This window comes from Homo sapiens, chromosome 11 (assembly GCF_000001405.40).
Source record: "Homo sapiens chromosome 11, GRCh38.p14 Primary Assembly".
Classification (NCBI taxonomy): domain Eukaryota; kingdom Metazoa; phylum Chordata; class Mammalia; order Primates; family Hominidae; genus Homo; species Homo sapiens.
Window position 1 is genome coordinate 102799781 of NC_000011.10, and position 17050 is coordinate 102816830.

The following is a 17050-nucleotide window of genomic DNA, read 5'->3' on the forward strand; positions in this document are numbered from 1 at the left end:
ACTACAATTTCCTCATCTAAGTGGCATAACATGTGAGTTCAAGAGGGTAAGAAGAATGGGAAGACATTCTCACGAAAAGGAAATCCTCTTCTCAGAGGCATCAGAGGGAGGGTGCGGCAGAGACCAAAGAACACTTGCCACTGAAGTGACTCCAGCACAGACAAAGAAAATAGTGAAAGGGGCTCTTCATATTAGAGGGTGAACATAGACTATGTTTTAAAAGTCAAGGAGTGGCAGATATACTCGACTGTGAGGGAATCTAGTCACTGTGAAGACGTGACAAGCCTAGCTCCACTGAGGCCTGGGAAACAAGGGTGAGTTAATAGGTTAACTCAGGAAAGCAGCATGTGACCATCTGTGATTGGACAGGAAATTGCCTAAGACGTCACCCTGGAAGAGTCTCATACACTGTCCCATCTGGCAAGAGCCTGCACATCCTGCAATGTAGAAGTTTTCAAACTTTTATAAACCTCTGTATCCTTTACTTAAACAAAATCCCTTTTGGAAAGCAAATTTGAAAACCAGGTGAAAACAGAAGTTCTCTGATGGAAGTTGGAAATAGAGCCTTGGAGTCCCCCACAACCCGCCACATCATGCCTGCTTTTTCCTCCCTTCTCTAGCAAAGCTCCCTGCATCTGAGTCCAGAGCTCTCATGCTAAATGCTCATAGTGTTTCATTAAATGTCATAGTTGCTGACGTGGATTGGAAACTGGTTGCTTGAAACATCTTTTCGTTAATTTTTTTTCCTAAAATAAACGAAAAAAATTAAATTAAGTTTTGGTTAAGCAGCCAGCCTAGATTCACATGGCCCTGAATCTTGGAATTTCCAGTTAGGTATTCATGGAAGATCGTCTAATACAACATATGTAACTTTGCAGCTGGTGCTAGCATATGATTTATTTGAGAGTAAAAAAGAAAACAAAAATTTAGAACAGAAAGCTGGGGATTAAATCATACCAAATCCTAGCAATGCCTAAACTTAGCATAGTTTCCAAGAAGTTCAGAACATGTTAAAGTTGTATTTGCTCTTCACATCCATACTATTTGTTTCCTCTGGGAGCATCTTCTTCCCCCATAATTCTCTTTTAAATGTAATTTTCTGAAATTATTCCTTTACCCCTTATGACAAGCATAAGAGGGCTCTCGTGTGGCTGTGTCAGCTGACTCCGGACTATTTCCAGGCAGCCAGATTATTTCCGTGGTTTTCTTGGTTGCTTCATGCTGGCTGCTCTGTGAAAGGCCTCAAACATATTTGTATTTTTCCATATTAAACTTAGTCTTGAAATTTCAATCTTGCTTCATATTTTTTTATGCTGGGGAATTCAGCCGTTTTAATTTTGTAACTCCATTTGAGTGTCAGATATTTTTTCTATTTTTTTGTCCTGCAAGTCTTGAAATGGTCTTTAGCCAGAAACATTAAGTATTTAATGCTATTTTGTTGTGAGAGTTACACGTGGGAAAAATTTGCCCCACGGTCTGTATTCTTCCTACATATGGCCATGCAGTAGCTTTATGGATAACCATTGACCAGACACTTAACAGACACTTGGTACACACTGGTTCCGTCAGTCCTCATGGTTACCTTCTGGGTAGAAATGATTGATCAATTAACCCCAAGTCCCAGGGCACACAGCAGAGCGGTAGTCACTCGTTGAACACAGTTCTGTGCCACTGCAGTCCAGACATAACACATACATACTCTGGGGATAGAAATCTTGCTTCCCTAACAGAGAGAAAGTGTCTGGAGACACGAGGACTGTCACATTAACTCCCTCAAGTCCACAATAATGTCTCCATGCCACCACCCGGTCCCACAGGCCTGAAAGAATCCTCCCCTTCAAGCTGTCACTCAATCTCTCTTATTTCCCTTATCAAACTTGTTGAATTTATAGTTTATACTACCTCAACATAGTAGGTGTCTGCAAATGATTGTTACATGAGTTAATAAATGAATAGATCAATGAAGAAATAGATACTTAAATGACACTTAAATAAAGGGTCTATTTCTCATTAGGCTGAGTTGTTTATAAGAAGTCTTATGCCCATGACTTTTACTCTCCTAAGACTAAAGTTTTTAAAATTACCATGGGAAGAATTTGGATATATCAACTGACTGGACATTCAATTAACTAATTTATTTATTTAGAGACAAGGTCTCCCTCTGTCGCTTAGGCTGGAGTGTAGGGACCTCAAACTCTTGGGCTTAAGCAATCTTCCTGCCTCAGACTCCCAAGTAGCTAGAACTACAGATGTGCACCACCATGTCCCACTGATTTTTAAGATTTTTTGTAGAGATGAGGTCTCACTATGTTGGCCAGGCTAGTCTCAAACTCCTGGCCTCAAGCAGTTCTCTCACCTCGGCCTCCCAGAGTGTTGGGATTATAGGTGTGAGCCACCACACTCAGCCTTACTGGAGATTTTATATGAAGCATAGCACATTTATTTTTGGTGATTTGCATGCCATGCTACAAGCATTTAGTATCAGATTATTTTGAGCATTTTATTAATTTGTTTGTCAATAATATTTTCTTATCTGCATGGTTTATTAAACACTGTGGAAAATGCTTATAGTTAGCACATTTGTGAAACAGATTTTTGCAGCTATAGCTCCTTTTAAAGGAAATTCAAACCAAGAGACTTTCTGGGGATGAGTGCTACTCATACCATAGCTCAGTTCAGCCCTGTCAAAACCGTCCTTTCCCAGCTCTTACATCTGTGAATGTGAATTTGAGATGGATTTGAAATATGTGAGGAAGCTTCCTGTGAGATTTTGATCATGTGCCCAGACTATGACTTGCTTGTTTGGAGTCTGTGACATACACACGTGTGTGGCCTGCAGAGCTTTTAGTCCATGATTCAGAATTCAAACTATATTCCATTGTTTCAGAATTTTTCTGTTTTTCACAAAGTGAAATGTTCTCTAAGCCTGCTACCCAGTTCTTTTTAATTACTCTTAACTACTTATGCCTCAGCCATAATTCTTTCTTTATTTTTTTATTATTATACTTTTTGAGGCAGAGTCTTGCTCTGTTGCCCAGGCTGGAATGCAGTGGCATAACCATGGCTCATTGCAGCCTCCGCCTCCTGGGCTCAAGTGATCCTCCCACATCAGCCTCTCAAGTAGCTGGGACTACAGCTCTCGTACGGCAACTGGGGAACTACAGGTGTATGCCACCACACCCAGCTAATTGTTATTATTATTATTTTTGTAGAGACAGGGTCTTGCTATGCTGTTCCGGCTGGTCTCAAACTCCTAGCCTCAAGTGATCCTCCCTCATCAGCCTCCTAAAGTTATAATCATTTATGATGACCATTGGGCTGGTCAGCTGGTTTTCCTTGAACCAGTCAATTCTTTTTCTTTTTTTTTTTCTATTGAGACAGAGTGTCACTCTGTCACCCAGGCTAGAGTGCAGTGGCATGATCTTGGCTCATTGCAACCTCCACTTCCCGGGCTCAAGCAATTCTCCTGCCTCAGCTTCTCAAGTGGCTGGGATTACAGGCATGTGCCACCATGCCTGGCTAAGAATCAGTCAATTCTTATGAATTCTCACTGAAAGAAATAACATTTAACCTTTACTGGGCTCTCTATACCTTTAACATACAAAACTATTTTATCCTCACAATAATCCTGTGGAATAGTTAGGGTGGATACTATTATTTCCATTTCATAGGTGAAGAAACTGGGACAACTTTCCATGACTAAATCTTTTGTCCAAGACAGTTCCTCTAGCAAGTAGTAGAGACAGAAACTTGAAAAAGGTCTTTGGCTGCTAAACCAGGTAATTCAGCTCTTAAGACAAAAGATTAATCCCTGCAGACATCTTTTTATACTTGTCACTGAGATGCATTTTTAGTTCTAATAGAAAATTATTGATGAAACCACCAATAAGACTGCACAGTCCCTTTTTGCTTAAACTGACATCTTCTCCCGTGAATTATACCCTTCTCTCTCAAGGGTGTTTCTTGCCCTTGGCACAGATTCTTTCCCTCATCCTGTGAACATGGCTGCTCTGTGAAATACATGAAGGAGCACAACCCTAACAATTGTTGCAACCCATAACTCCTTGAGCATCACTTTTCTCTTTGTCATCAGCCTTATTACTTAACTTGGATCTTGACCTTGACCTCACCCCCTTGTAGTACATTTTCAAACATTACTATTAACATCCACCATTTTAAAAAAGTCAAATGGCTTTTCTTCAGTTCACATTTTCATCAGTCCTTTTTAGTATTCAATGCTCAGTCTTGGAAACCCTCAGCTTGGAGTTTCTGCACTTTATTTTTCTCCCTGTACCTTTCTGATTATTTCCCCTCCTTTGCTGGTGTCTCCTTCCTTCCCTTCCTCTTGAATTTTGCCATTCACCAATGTCCTGTTTTGAGTCTTCACTTTTAATCTCTGGCCACTATTTCTCCAGGACAGTCTCATCTATTCCCACAACTTCACCCAACATCCCCACAAAAATGTCTTCCTAAACTCGAGCCCTACTGTTTTCCTGAACTCCTGTCTCATAGTTTCCACTGCCACCAGGACACTTCCATCTGGATAGATCTGGTTTCATTTTCTTTTAAACCAAGACTCCTATTCCTCCTTATATACTTCTTACCTAGCACAGCTTGCTAAATCACAGACGTGGGTTCAAATGCCAACTCTGCCAATTACTAGCTAAATGACCAATTATTCAACCTTTTTATTTTCTCATCTAAAAAATGGAAATAATAACAGCACCTGCCTTAGATGGTTGTTTGGAGACTAAAATAATACATATAAAATATATTAGTACAATGACTGGCACACAGTGAACACACACAAAATATTTGTAATTATTTTTATGAATAAAATGCTTCAGTGGTATCCATTGTCTAGCACGGCAAAAGGAACAACCAGCAGAGTAAACAGACAACCCACAGAGTGGGAGAAAATCCTCACAATTGATATATCTGACAAAGGACTAATATCCAGAATCTGCAACAAACTCAAATAAATTAGCCAGAATAAAACAAACAATGTCATCAAAAAGTGGGCTAAGGACATGAACAGACAATTCTCAAAAGAAGATATACAAATGGCCAACAAACATATGAAAATATGCTCAACATCACTTATGATCAGGGAAATGCAAATCAAAACCACAATGCGATACCACCTTAATCCTGCAAGAATGCCCATAATCAAAAAATCAAAAAACAGTAGATGTTGGCATGGATGCAGTGAACAGGGAACACTTCTACACTGCTGGTGGGAATGTAAACTAGCACAGCCGCTATGGAAAACAGTGTGGAGGTTCCTTAAATAACTAAAAGTAGAACTACCATTTGATCCAGCAATTCCGCTACTGAGTATCTACCCAGAGGAAAAGAACTAAATTATACAAAAAAGATACTTGCATATGCATGTTTATACCAGCACAATTCGCAGTTGCAAAAATGTGGAACCAACCCAAATGCCCATGAATCAACAAGTGGATAAAGAAACTGTGATATATATTTATCATATATATATTTTATCATATATCATATATATACATTATATATATAAAAAATATAACAGAATACTATATATGATATATATAATACTCTGTATATTATAATATATATACTATATATAGAGTATATATATTATATATGATGGAATACTATTATATGTGGTAGAATACTACTCAGCCATAAAAAGGAATGAATTAATGGCATTTGCAGCAACCTGGATGAGATTAGAGACTGTTCTTCTAAGTGAAGTAAATCAGGAATGGAAAGTCAAACATCTTATGTTCTCACTCATAAGTGGGAGCTAAGCTGTGAAGATGCAAAGGCATAAAAATGACACAATGGACTCTGGGGACTCAGGAGGAAAGGGTGGGAAGGGGGTCAGGTTTAGATAAAAGACTACAAATTGAGTATATACTGCTCAGGTAATGGGTGCACTAAAATCTCACAAATCATCACTAAAGAACTTACACATGTAACCAAACACCACCTGTTCCCCAGTAACCTATAGAAATAAAAAATTAATTTTTAAAAAAAGCAAAACAGATATAAACTAACTTTAGCACTTAAGACCTTCCATGCTCAGGTCTAAAAATAACTTACCGGTCCCACTTCCCTCTCATCCTACCCCCTTACAAACAAAGTGAATTATATTTTTTCCCAAATGTGCCTTGTACCTGTCCTGCTTTTTTATATTTTTTATTCTCCTCTATTTCTACTTAATACAAGTCTACCCATTCTGCAAGACTTAGTATAAGGGTTACTTCGCTGATAATTTCCTCCATTACCTTTCTCCCTTTGTGAGATAGGTTTTTTTTACAGAAAGTTTTTAGTTTTCAATGAACTTGTAAACAAAAAAAGTTCCCATTTCAAAATAAAAACAAAATCCCAGATCATGCAGATGTTTACAGTGATTATGTTTATCTAAGCAACATGGATACATGTTTAGTTGTAAGATGTTAACTAAATTTCTGTGACAAATATGCTTTTTTAAATAACAAGAATATTATAAAATTAATGCAGAGTCCTAAGAATAACCTAGTAGTTACTAAGTTTTTCTTACATCTTCATTTTGGACGCTGTTATTTCTAGCACGAATGAGCAGGCAGAGCCTTTCATATGCTCAAACAATGGAATATTTGGTTGCTATCATATCAATTGGCTTTCAAGCAACAAGACAACCATTTTAAGAATGTTTTAAGTGAAGAACTTGCAAAGCCCAGGGATGGAAAAATGCTAAGAATGCACAATTGCGAGCACTTACAACCATCACAACTGTGGCTGAAGACTTTATCTCCTTCTTCTTAAATGACATCTCAAAGTAGTATAGTTCAAAACAAAAGGTTTTAACAAAAAAATTGGCATTTGCCCAATTTCTCCACTAATTTGTGTGAGTCAAACATTTAATTTTTTCACTTGAAAAAAAATGCAATAGAAAACCGGACATCATGTTTCACTATCTCAGTTAATATTCACGATTACAGCAGCTGCAATTCAGGATGCAGCATTACCAGTGCTGCCCAGAGTCAGTTCATACTGAAATTAAGTTCCTAACACCAAGTAGTTGGTTGCAACTACCATTGGCTAGTGTACATATGAAATAAAATTTCTAGCAGCAACAAATGCGAGATCAAAAGCAACAGATCATCTGCTCTGCTTCTTCTGTTACTCAGCTCGTGCTTAGAAACCAGTGGGGGTTTGGGCCTGCTGACCCTGCCCACTGGAAGAGGCTGTCTGCTGCGCTACTTTCAACTTTCACATTGTCCAATAAAATGTTTAGTCGTATTGGTGGTTCAGGGTCCTCGAAAGAATGCGGAATAGCTGTCTGAGATACACCTCATCCGGGACTTCCTCAAAGTGTAGCCCGCGATTATAGTTTAAGCACATGGCAAATTCTGCAGGAAACCCCTTACATAAAACTTCAACAGGAGTGGGCATCTTCTTTTCACTAATCTTTTCATATTTTTGTTTCTTTGTTGCGGACCTAAGTCCTTGCCATGGCAAGCTGGTTCTGTTAAAACACATCAAAACAGCCTAAGGATTCCATATCATCTCTGTGACTCTGCTCGATACCAAGATGTGCATTGATGCTGGCACGTCGGGCAGTGCTAGTGAGATTTTTATATTACCTGCACAGTATGCGTTGCCTTGTCCTGCTGTTGCTGTATTTTTTGACCAAACCAGAATCAATACGGAATAACTTACTACAGTGGTGTCCAATACCTTTAGGGAGTTATCTGGTTTAACGTCTCTATGTATAAAATTGTTTGTATGCACATACTCAATTTTATTGATTGTCTGGTCAGCTAACATAAGCACAGTTTTCATTGTGAACCTTCTTGAAGAGAAATTGAAGAGGTCTTCGAGGCTAGGTCCCGGAAGGTCTATGACTGGTACATTGCAGTCTTTTTCCTGATCATACCACGGTATGTGGGGGATGCCAAGCCTGCCTTGAAGAATCTCACAGAGTTTGCTTTCCTACAGCAACTGGGGATGCCTGGCCTTTTGAGATTCTAGCTTCACTGCCACTTGCTCGCCATTGGTGATATCGATGGCCAGATAAAGGTCCCAGAAGGAGCCAGACCTGATCTTCCTTACTAGTTTATATTTCCCTCAAACAATAAATTCGGCCTTGGATCCGCTGCTGCTCGCCATCCTAAGAGATGAAGACAGAGGCTGAGGCCAAGTCCAGACGCCTCTGAGAGGAGGACGGAGGCCTCTGGGGCTCCTCCACGGCGGAAGGTGGCAGGAAACGGGACATGGAACACGGAGGCCTCCCTCATATTCGCGGCCCGGAATCAGCTGACGGGGAACCTGATCACCGCTGCTCAGTCAGGTTTCTTGTTGCCAGGCTGCGGTTTGTGAAAGGGTTCTTGCAGTTACAAGGCTGGGCCACTTGTTTCTGGGCGGCGCCACTGCCTTGCTGTCTCAGCTATGTGCAGGCTGGAAAAAGGGGTGCGGTGAGCTAGAGCAGGGATACCATTGCCACCACTGCCAGCAGCTCCAGCCCGGAAGGACCCCTGTCCCTCTGCCGACGCTGCCGTCTTGTTACTCCAGCTCCAGCCCAATAGTTTCACTCTGAATTTTCTTAGCGCATTACACTTTCTTAAAGCCCTTTTCATATTTTCCTTATCTTCACCTCATTCTCTTAATGGAAGGTGATTTGTTGAAAAAAGGCTGATGTTTTCATTGTGTCCCTGCCCATTCTCCAAGGTTTACCAGTTGCTTTGTAGAAACTTGCTCAACAGGGGAAATGTTAGGTTACATGCAATAGAATAGAAAAAGTGGCACTTAGTACTTTTGAGGGTAAGTGTCCCTTTAAGGGTAAGTGTCCCTTCTTTCAGTAAGAGTTCTTTCGCTTTGCAAGTCTGAGGGAAATCCTAGTGACTATGTATGCTGAAGTGGTTTGATACGGTTTTGCAGTGTCCCCACCCAAATCTCATCTTGAATTGTAGGTCCCATAATTCTCACATGTCTTGGGAGTGGTCCCGTGGGAAGTAATTAAATCATGGGGACGGGTCTTTTCCCGTGCTATTCTTGTGATAGTGAATAAGTCTCACAAGATGTGATGGTTTTCAAAAGGGGGAGTTCCCCTGCACATGCTCTCTTACCTAGTACCATGTAAGACCCTGACTTTGCTCCTCATTCGCCTTCTGCCAGGATTGTGAGGCCTCCCCAGCCATGTGGAACTATGAATCAATTAAATCTCTTTCCTTTTTAAATTACCTGGTCTCAGGTATGTCTTTATTAGCAGCGTGAGAACAGACTAATACATGGTTAAACCCAAGAAACCACAGTGAACTCTCAAAGAAAATATATTTATCAGACTGTCTCAGTATATGTGGACCACATGTTAGTTAAGTATCCCCTAGACTTTTGTATGAACAAATTGAAAGCAAGTAGACTGAACTCACTCCCACTTAGTAAGCACGTCTGATCTACAAGGCTAGAAATTGCAAAAATAATCAGACACGAATTTAGCTCTTAGAAGTTAATTTGCTCATGAAATGGATGCAGCCTAATTATTGCATAAATTATTATTTCTTCAAGTAGCTGTTAAAATCTTAGGTGTAATTCCTATTATGCCAATGAATATTTATGTGGTATATATCTCCAAAAATATTATGAAAGACAGGGAAAATAAGATTCAAAATGCAAGTGTGTGCTTTCTAGGCAATTTATCCAGAAATACAAATTTAATCAAAGTCCTTTTTTACTATTCTTTAAGTTCTGGCACTTCTTACTACTGATAATAGATCTTGTCACATTGGCATAACTAATATCTGTTGGGCATTCTTGGAGAGGTAAGTGGAGAGGGACTTAAAGGATTTGTGTGGTTAGACAGCTGTCTGGACTATTTCAATAAGCCCTGCCTGCGAGGGTCCTTTGTTGGGTCTTGGGGAGCTGATAAAAGTGAATGATTCTTAAGCCATTTTATACACCAAAACATGAGTAGGTATTTGTTGGGATTTGGCTTAAGACTGAGGACATGCAACTATTCAGTTTCAGAATCACATACTGCATTGTGGAGAATTTTGGAGATTCGTTCTATTTCAGAAAGGAGACCAAATTACCTACTCTCCAAATCGTCTCATAAAAAAATTTAATCCTAGAGATCAATTGAAAAGGAAATCAACTTCTGCTTCCCTGTTTCATATTAGTGGTCCTTGAAGTTAGGGTAATATAAATGTATTATTTCCCATTTAAATCACATGCAATGAAAAGAGTTTCTGACACAGAATAGCAGAATACATGCTAAATAAGAGTTAGATTTATTATTTTTATTTTTGTGTGTGCTTTCTCAACTAAATTCAATTTCAGGTAAAATGCAGAGATAGCCTCAGCCTATCACCCTGCAACTAGACTCTGTGCGTTCTGCAGTGAAGCTGATAAAAGACAGTGCCCTATCTTTAGGCACAGCCTAGTTCTCCTCTGCGGTCTTGGGAAAGAAAACTAAGTTTCCAGGCCACACAGCTTTCAAAAGTAGAATGCCTGTGGTGGTGTAGAAGAATGTATATAGATAGAATGCATGGGACAAAATAGTTTTTATAGAAATCTTCTCTGAGGATTATAGCCAGAACCCCTCAGAAAACTCTATCTTAAAAGCTACACAACTAGAGCTTCTGTTTGTTTTCTTCCATGGCTTTAAGGCTCAGCTTGAGGTCATAAGCCCCCATCAGGTCCCCCAGTGTCTTCTGTTACTGAGCTCTTCTAGCGCCCTGCTGTCTACGTTGTAAGAGCAAATCTACATACTATTTACATGGAAGGTTAGCGCAGTCTTTCTATAAAAAGGTACCAGTGCATGTTACATATTTTACCTACACACACTTGGATCTTTATGACTCAATATCTGTAAATATACCCGTCTATGTAACTATACATACATAGGTGTATTTAACACAGTCCCAGCAAAATAATATATACATATAATTCTATAGACAGAGTATGTCATAGGATAATATATTGAGATATAAAATTATATTTTCCTCTATATTTTTCCCTGACTTTGCCAAGAACTGTGTATCTCCTAGTCTCAGAGGTGTCTTCAGGACTTCAGTTGAAACCTACATGAAGGCAATATCTCTTTCCAACTTTTGGAAAAGCCTGAGCTCATAGGAAGAGGTTGTCAGATGTCTTCAACTAAGAGGGGAAAGGAAAAAGGTTTCAGGGAGGCATGAGAGAGGGAGAGGTTTCCTTAAACTGGAAAGAGACATCTGGGCTGTTTCCACCAGGCATAAAGACCCATGCTCTACTTCTAGGTCCCTGGAAACTCCTGGGGTAGTTGTGAGGTGGGCCTAGGGAGGCAGGATCCCTCAGATCTGGATCCTTAAGAGTGTGTGAGTGAGGAAAAATGGAAACTCATACGTTGTCTTCTCCAAAACTCCAGTAGGTGGCAGAATGGAAATTTAAACCCAGGGCTCATTCCAAAGTCAATGCACGTTCCAATCTCAGTGCTTTTTAGATGTAGTAAGTGAAGATAGTTATCTCGTATGTGGAAGGGGGATGTGTAGGGGATGTATATTTCAAGTATTCTCCAAAGGATGTGATAGACAAAGTGCAGAATTTGGAATTAAATGATACAGGTTTGAATCACAGCAGAGCAATCTTGGGTGTTATCTGCAAAAAGGAAATAATAATGCTTACACCATTTATTTATGATGTAATTGAACTGATAAGTACTTTGCAAATTGAATGACTACATATGTTGTTTTTACTACCTTCTGACCTTTAAGACTGTTTCCCATGATCAGGTACTACACAGCAATAAAAGGTAAACAGGAATTCACAGACATGTAACTCATTTCCTTAGTCTATGGCATTTTCTTGAACTAAAAAAAGAAATTTGTCTCTAGAATATTAATCAAAATACTACCTGTATACATGTATTACAAATTCTATATACTCCCATTCACTAGTACTCCAAGCAGCTTGATTACAAATGTTGAATTACCAGATGTACACAGAAACAGAATATAGAACTGGAAACAGCATTCTTGTGTGAAAAAAAAAACTGATTTTTGTATAAGGCAGATTTGGATTCAAAAACTGAGTTTGCAACTTTTGAGACTTACATTCTTGGGTATGTTAACCTCTCTAATACTGTTTTCTCACCTATACAGTGGAAATAATAACATTAATATCCAGCATGACAGTTTTGAGGATAATTAAATCCCCACATGCAACGTACATCATGCTTGTCACATAATAGCAGCTCAATAAATATTAATTTCTCTTAGAGTGGAAAGACACCTAAAATCACCTACTTTATTACTCTTACATTGCAGATGAGGAAATTGAGCCCCTAAATTTTCATTTGTTTTTATTTCATTGGGAGCAAAACTTTTGGAACTATGGCTCAAGTGTCTTGATTAGAATATTTCAACACACTAAATATTTATACTAAATGATTTTCTAGGATGCAAATTAAGTATGATTCTTGAGGAAATTGTTATAATGCAATGAGGTAAAACAAGTCCATTGGAATATAATTTTCCGTTAAATGTACATCATGAAGCAACACAATGAGTTACCTTCCTTAATAATTTTGGAATCTTGCCTGAGAGGCAGCCATATGATAAAGTGTCATATTATCATCATCACTTTCATTGGCATGAGCTAAATGTGATTCTAAGAATAAATGCAAAGGCAGCAGATTCCTTAGTTGCATAAATCATGGCCAGGAAGTCATGCATCATAATTCCCACCTTTAGTTTTATCTTAGGAAAGTGAAAATGTTCCCTTAATCATGAGGATTCTTGATGAATATAGTTATATTAAGAATCAGCTTCCTGTTACGCTGTGATCTGTCACTTACGAGGACCATACCCCAGGGTGGAATCTTCCCCAGAGCAGCTCTTTTTTCTACTGACCTACAGGGATTATGTGACTTATGTGGATCCTCACGTACCTCTCTTTGGTAAATTCTTGAAAGGCCAGGGTGTTTATAGCCATATATTTTTTGCCCCTTTATGAAGCACCTTTAATCTATTTCAGAAATGCTTCAGATATTTACTTTTTGTGCAAGGTAAATTAGCCAAGTATGTTAACAGTTTAATTTTTTGTTGATAGCCTGGCTACTTTCAAAATAGATTTGCTGCTGCAGCTGAATAATTATTCACTGACTGAATTAATTGATTAATGGGCTTTGAGGATAATTTTCACAATTGTTACATTTATTTAAAGAAATTTAATGTTCATAATTAGAAAATTACTTCATATTCTTCCCTCTACACTATAACTCAGAAAAGACCATCTTTCCTACTGTAGTCAAACCCTGTAATTTCCTAGATATGACATGTTCTCTCATATCTTAATGCCATTGCCTATGCTCTTCCTTTCCTCTTCACACTTGGCCTGATAGACTCCTACTACTTCTTCACACCCAGGATCAAGCATTGCTGCCTTGCCAAACTTATTCATTCATTCAACAAAAGTTTAATGAGCATCGACTAAGTCAGGGGCTTGATGCTGGGCATCGTCCAATGTGCCCATGTGGGATGCATTCAAGTGGACAGCTGCAGTGGGCTGTGTGTGAATGGACGCACATAAGAGGAGGAATGAACACAGCCAGTAGGCAGAGTTGGCAAGGTCTCAGAATGTCCCCAAAGATGGTAACCCCTGAGCTGGGTCTTCAAGTGCAAGACAAATAGGAGAACAGTGTGATCATTTTCATCAGGAACCATTTGATTGGAAGGCAATCCTTCCATTCGGTTGGAATGCCAAACTGAATTAAAGGGAGGATTATTTTAAAGAACCAGAGGAATCTGATGGAATCCATTAATGAGAAGCACTTTGAAGGGAGGCACTGGGCAAGTGGAGTTAGATTTCTTAGAACCCTCCACCAGCTTTCCTCACTGGTCTTTAACTCATTTCTCACCACTCAGAACACTATCATTCCTGTTACCATCTGGGTGGGGCAGAGCATTCAACTGTTGCAATTCAGCCAGGTACATGACTAATTTCTAGACACATCTTGGGTAGTCTGAACGTGAATAACAGATTGTAGGCCTTCTTTTCTTTTCTCTTTTCTTTTCCCTCCCTCCCTCTCTCTTTCTCTCTTTCTTTCTTTCTCTCTTTCTTCTTTCCTTCTTTCTTTCCTCCCTTCCTTCCTTCCTTCTTTCTACCTTTCTAATTATACTTTAAGTTCTAAGATACATGTGCAGAACATGCAGGTTTGTTACATAGGTATACATGTGCCATGGTGGTTTGCTGTACCCATCAACCCGTCATCTACATTAGATATTTCTCCTAATGTTATCCCTTCCCTTGCCCCCAACTCCCCGACAGGCCCTGGTGTGTGATGTCCCCCTCCCTGTGCCGATATGTTCTCATTGTTCAATTCCCACTTATGAATGAGAGCATGAGGTGTTTGGTTTTCTGTTCCTGTGTTAGTCTATGGAAAATGGTGGTTTCCAGCTTCATTCATATGCCTGCAAAGGACATGAACTCATTCTTTTTTATGACTGCATAGTATTCCGTGGTGTATATGTGTCACATTTTCTTTATCTAGTCTATCATTGATGGGCATTTGGGTTGGTTCCAAGTCTTTGCTATTGTGAATGTGCTGCAATATACATACGTGTACATGTGTCTTTATAGCAGAATGATTTATAATCCTTTGGGTATATACCCAGCAATGGGATTGCTGGGTCAAATGGTATTTCTGGTTCTGGAACCCTGAGGAATCGCCACACTGTCTTCCACAATGGTTGAACTAATTTACACTCCCACCAACCGTGTAAAAGTGTTCCTATTTCTCCACATCCTCTTCAGCATCTGTTGTTTCCTGACTTTGTAATGATTGCCATTCTAACTGGTGTGAAATGGTATCTCATTGTGGTTTTGATTTGCATTTCTGTAATGACCAATGATGACGAGCTTTTTTTCGTATGTTTATTGGCCCCATAAATGTCTTCTTTTGAGAAATGTCTATTCATATCCTTTGCCCACTTTTTGATGGTTTTTTTTTTCTTGTAAATTTAAGTTCCTTGTAGATGCTGGATATTAGCCCTTTGTCAGATGGATAGACTGCAAAAACTTTCTCCCATTCTGTAGGTTGCCTGTTCACTCTAATGATAGTTTCTTTAGCTGTGCAGAAGCGCTTTAGTTTAATTAGATCCTGTTTGTCAATTTTGGCTTCTGTTGCCATTGCTTTTGGTGTTTTAGTCATGAAGTCTTTGTCCATGCCTGTGTCCTGAATGGTATTGCCTAGATTTTCTTCTAGGGTTTTTTATGGTTTTAGGTCTTTTATTTAAGGCTTTAATCCATCTTGAGTTAATTTTTGTATAAGGTGAAGGAAGGGGTCTAGTTTCAGTTTTCTGCATATGGCTAGCCAGTTTTCCCACAATAGGGAATTCTTTCCCCATTGCTTGTTTTTGTCAGGTTTGTCAAAGATCAGATGGTTGTAGATGTGTGATATTACTTCTGAGGCCTCTGTTCTGTTCCATTGGTCTATATATCTGTTTTGGTATCAGTACCAAGCTGTTTTGGTTACTGTAACCTTGTAGTATAGTTTGAAGTCAGGTAACGTGATTCCTCTAGCTTTGTTCTTTTTGCTTAGGATTGTCTTGGCTATTTTTGGTTCCATATGAAATTTAAAGTAGTTTTTTTCTAATTCTGTTAAGAAAGTCAATGGTAGCTTGATGGGGATGGCATTGAATCTATATATTACTTTGGTCAGTATGGCCATTTTCGTGATATTGATTCTTCTTATCCATGAGCATGGAATGTTTTTTCATTTGTTTGTGTCCTCTCATTTCCTTGAGCAGTGGTTTGTAGTTCTCCTTGAAGAGGTCCTTCATATCCCTTGTAAGTTGGATTCCTAGGTATTTTATTCTCTTTGTAGCAATTGTGAACGGGTGTTCACTCATGATTTGGCTCTCTGTTTGTCTATTATTGGTGTATAGGAATGCTCCTGATTTTTGCACATTGATTTTGTATCCTGAAACTTTGCTGAAGTTTCTTATCAGCTTAAGGAGTTTTTGGGCTGAGATGATGGGTTTTCTAAATACACAATCACGTCATCTGCAAACAGACAATTTGACTTCCTCTCTTCCTATTTGAATATGCTTTATTTCTTTCTCTTGCATGATTGCCCTGCTATCTTTCAATATTGCCCTGCAATAACTTTCAACACTATGTTGAATAGGAGTGGTGAGAGAGTGTATCCTTTGTCTTGTGCTGGTTTTCAAAGGGAATGCTTCCAGCTTTTGCCCATTCAGTATTATATTGGCTGTGGGTTTGTCATAAATAGCTCTCATTATTTTGAGATACGTTCCATCAATACCTACTTTATTTAGTGTTTTTAGCATGAAAGAGTGTTGAATTTTATCAAAAGTCTTCTCTGCATCTATTGAAATAATCATGTGGTTTTTGCCATTGGTTCTGTTTATGTGATGGATTACATTTATTGATTTGCGTATGTTGAACCAGCCTTGCATCCCAGGGATGAAGCTGACTTGATCATTGTGGATAAGGTTTTTAATGTGCTGCTGGATTTGGTTTGCCAGTATTTTATTGAGGATTTTCGCATCGATGTTCATCATGGATATTAGCCTAAAATTTTCTTTTTTTGTTGTGTCTCTGCCAGGTTTTGGTATCAGAGTGATGCTGGTCTCACAAAATGAGTTAGGGAGGAGTCCCTCCTTTTCTATTGGAATAGTTTCAGAAGGAATGGTACCAGCTCCTTTTTGTACCTCTGGTAGAATCCGGCTGTGAATTTGTCTGATCCTGGGCTTTTTATGGTTGGTAGGCTATTAATTACTGCCTCAATTTCAGAGCTTGTTATTGGTCTATTCAGGGATTCGACTTCTTCCTGGTTAATCTTGGGCGGGTGTATATGTCCAGGAATGTATCCATTTCTTCTAGATTTTCTAGTTTATTTGCATAGAGGTATTTATACTATTCTCTGATGGTAGTTTGCATTTCTGTGGGATCAGTGGTATTCTCCCTTTATCATTTTTTATTGTGCCTATTTGATTCTTCTCTTTTCTTCTTTATTAGTCTTGCTAGTCGTCGATCTCTTTTGTTAATCTTTTCAAAAAACCAGCTCCTGGATTCTTTGATTTTT

General features: G+C 38.9%; 2 pseudogenes across 1 annotated transcript in view; one reads left to right on the top strand and one right to left on the bottom strand.

Moving 5' to 3' along the window:
• Nucleotides 1–17050, top strand: part of WTAPP1 (WTAP pseudogene 1) — a 53091-nt pseudogene that overhangs the window by 16105 nt on the left and 19936 nt on the right. The gene's annotated exons all lie outside the window — the stretch shown is intronic.
• Nucleotides 6969–8546, bottom strand: CSNK1A1P2 (casein kinase 1 alpha 1 pseudogene 2; annotated as a pseudogene).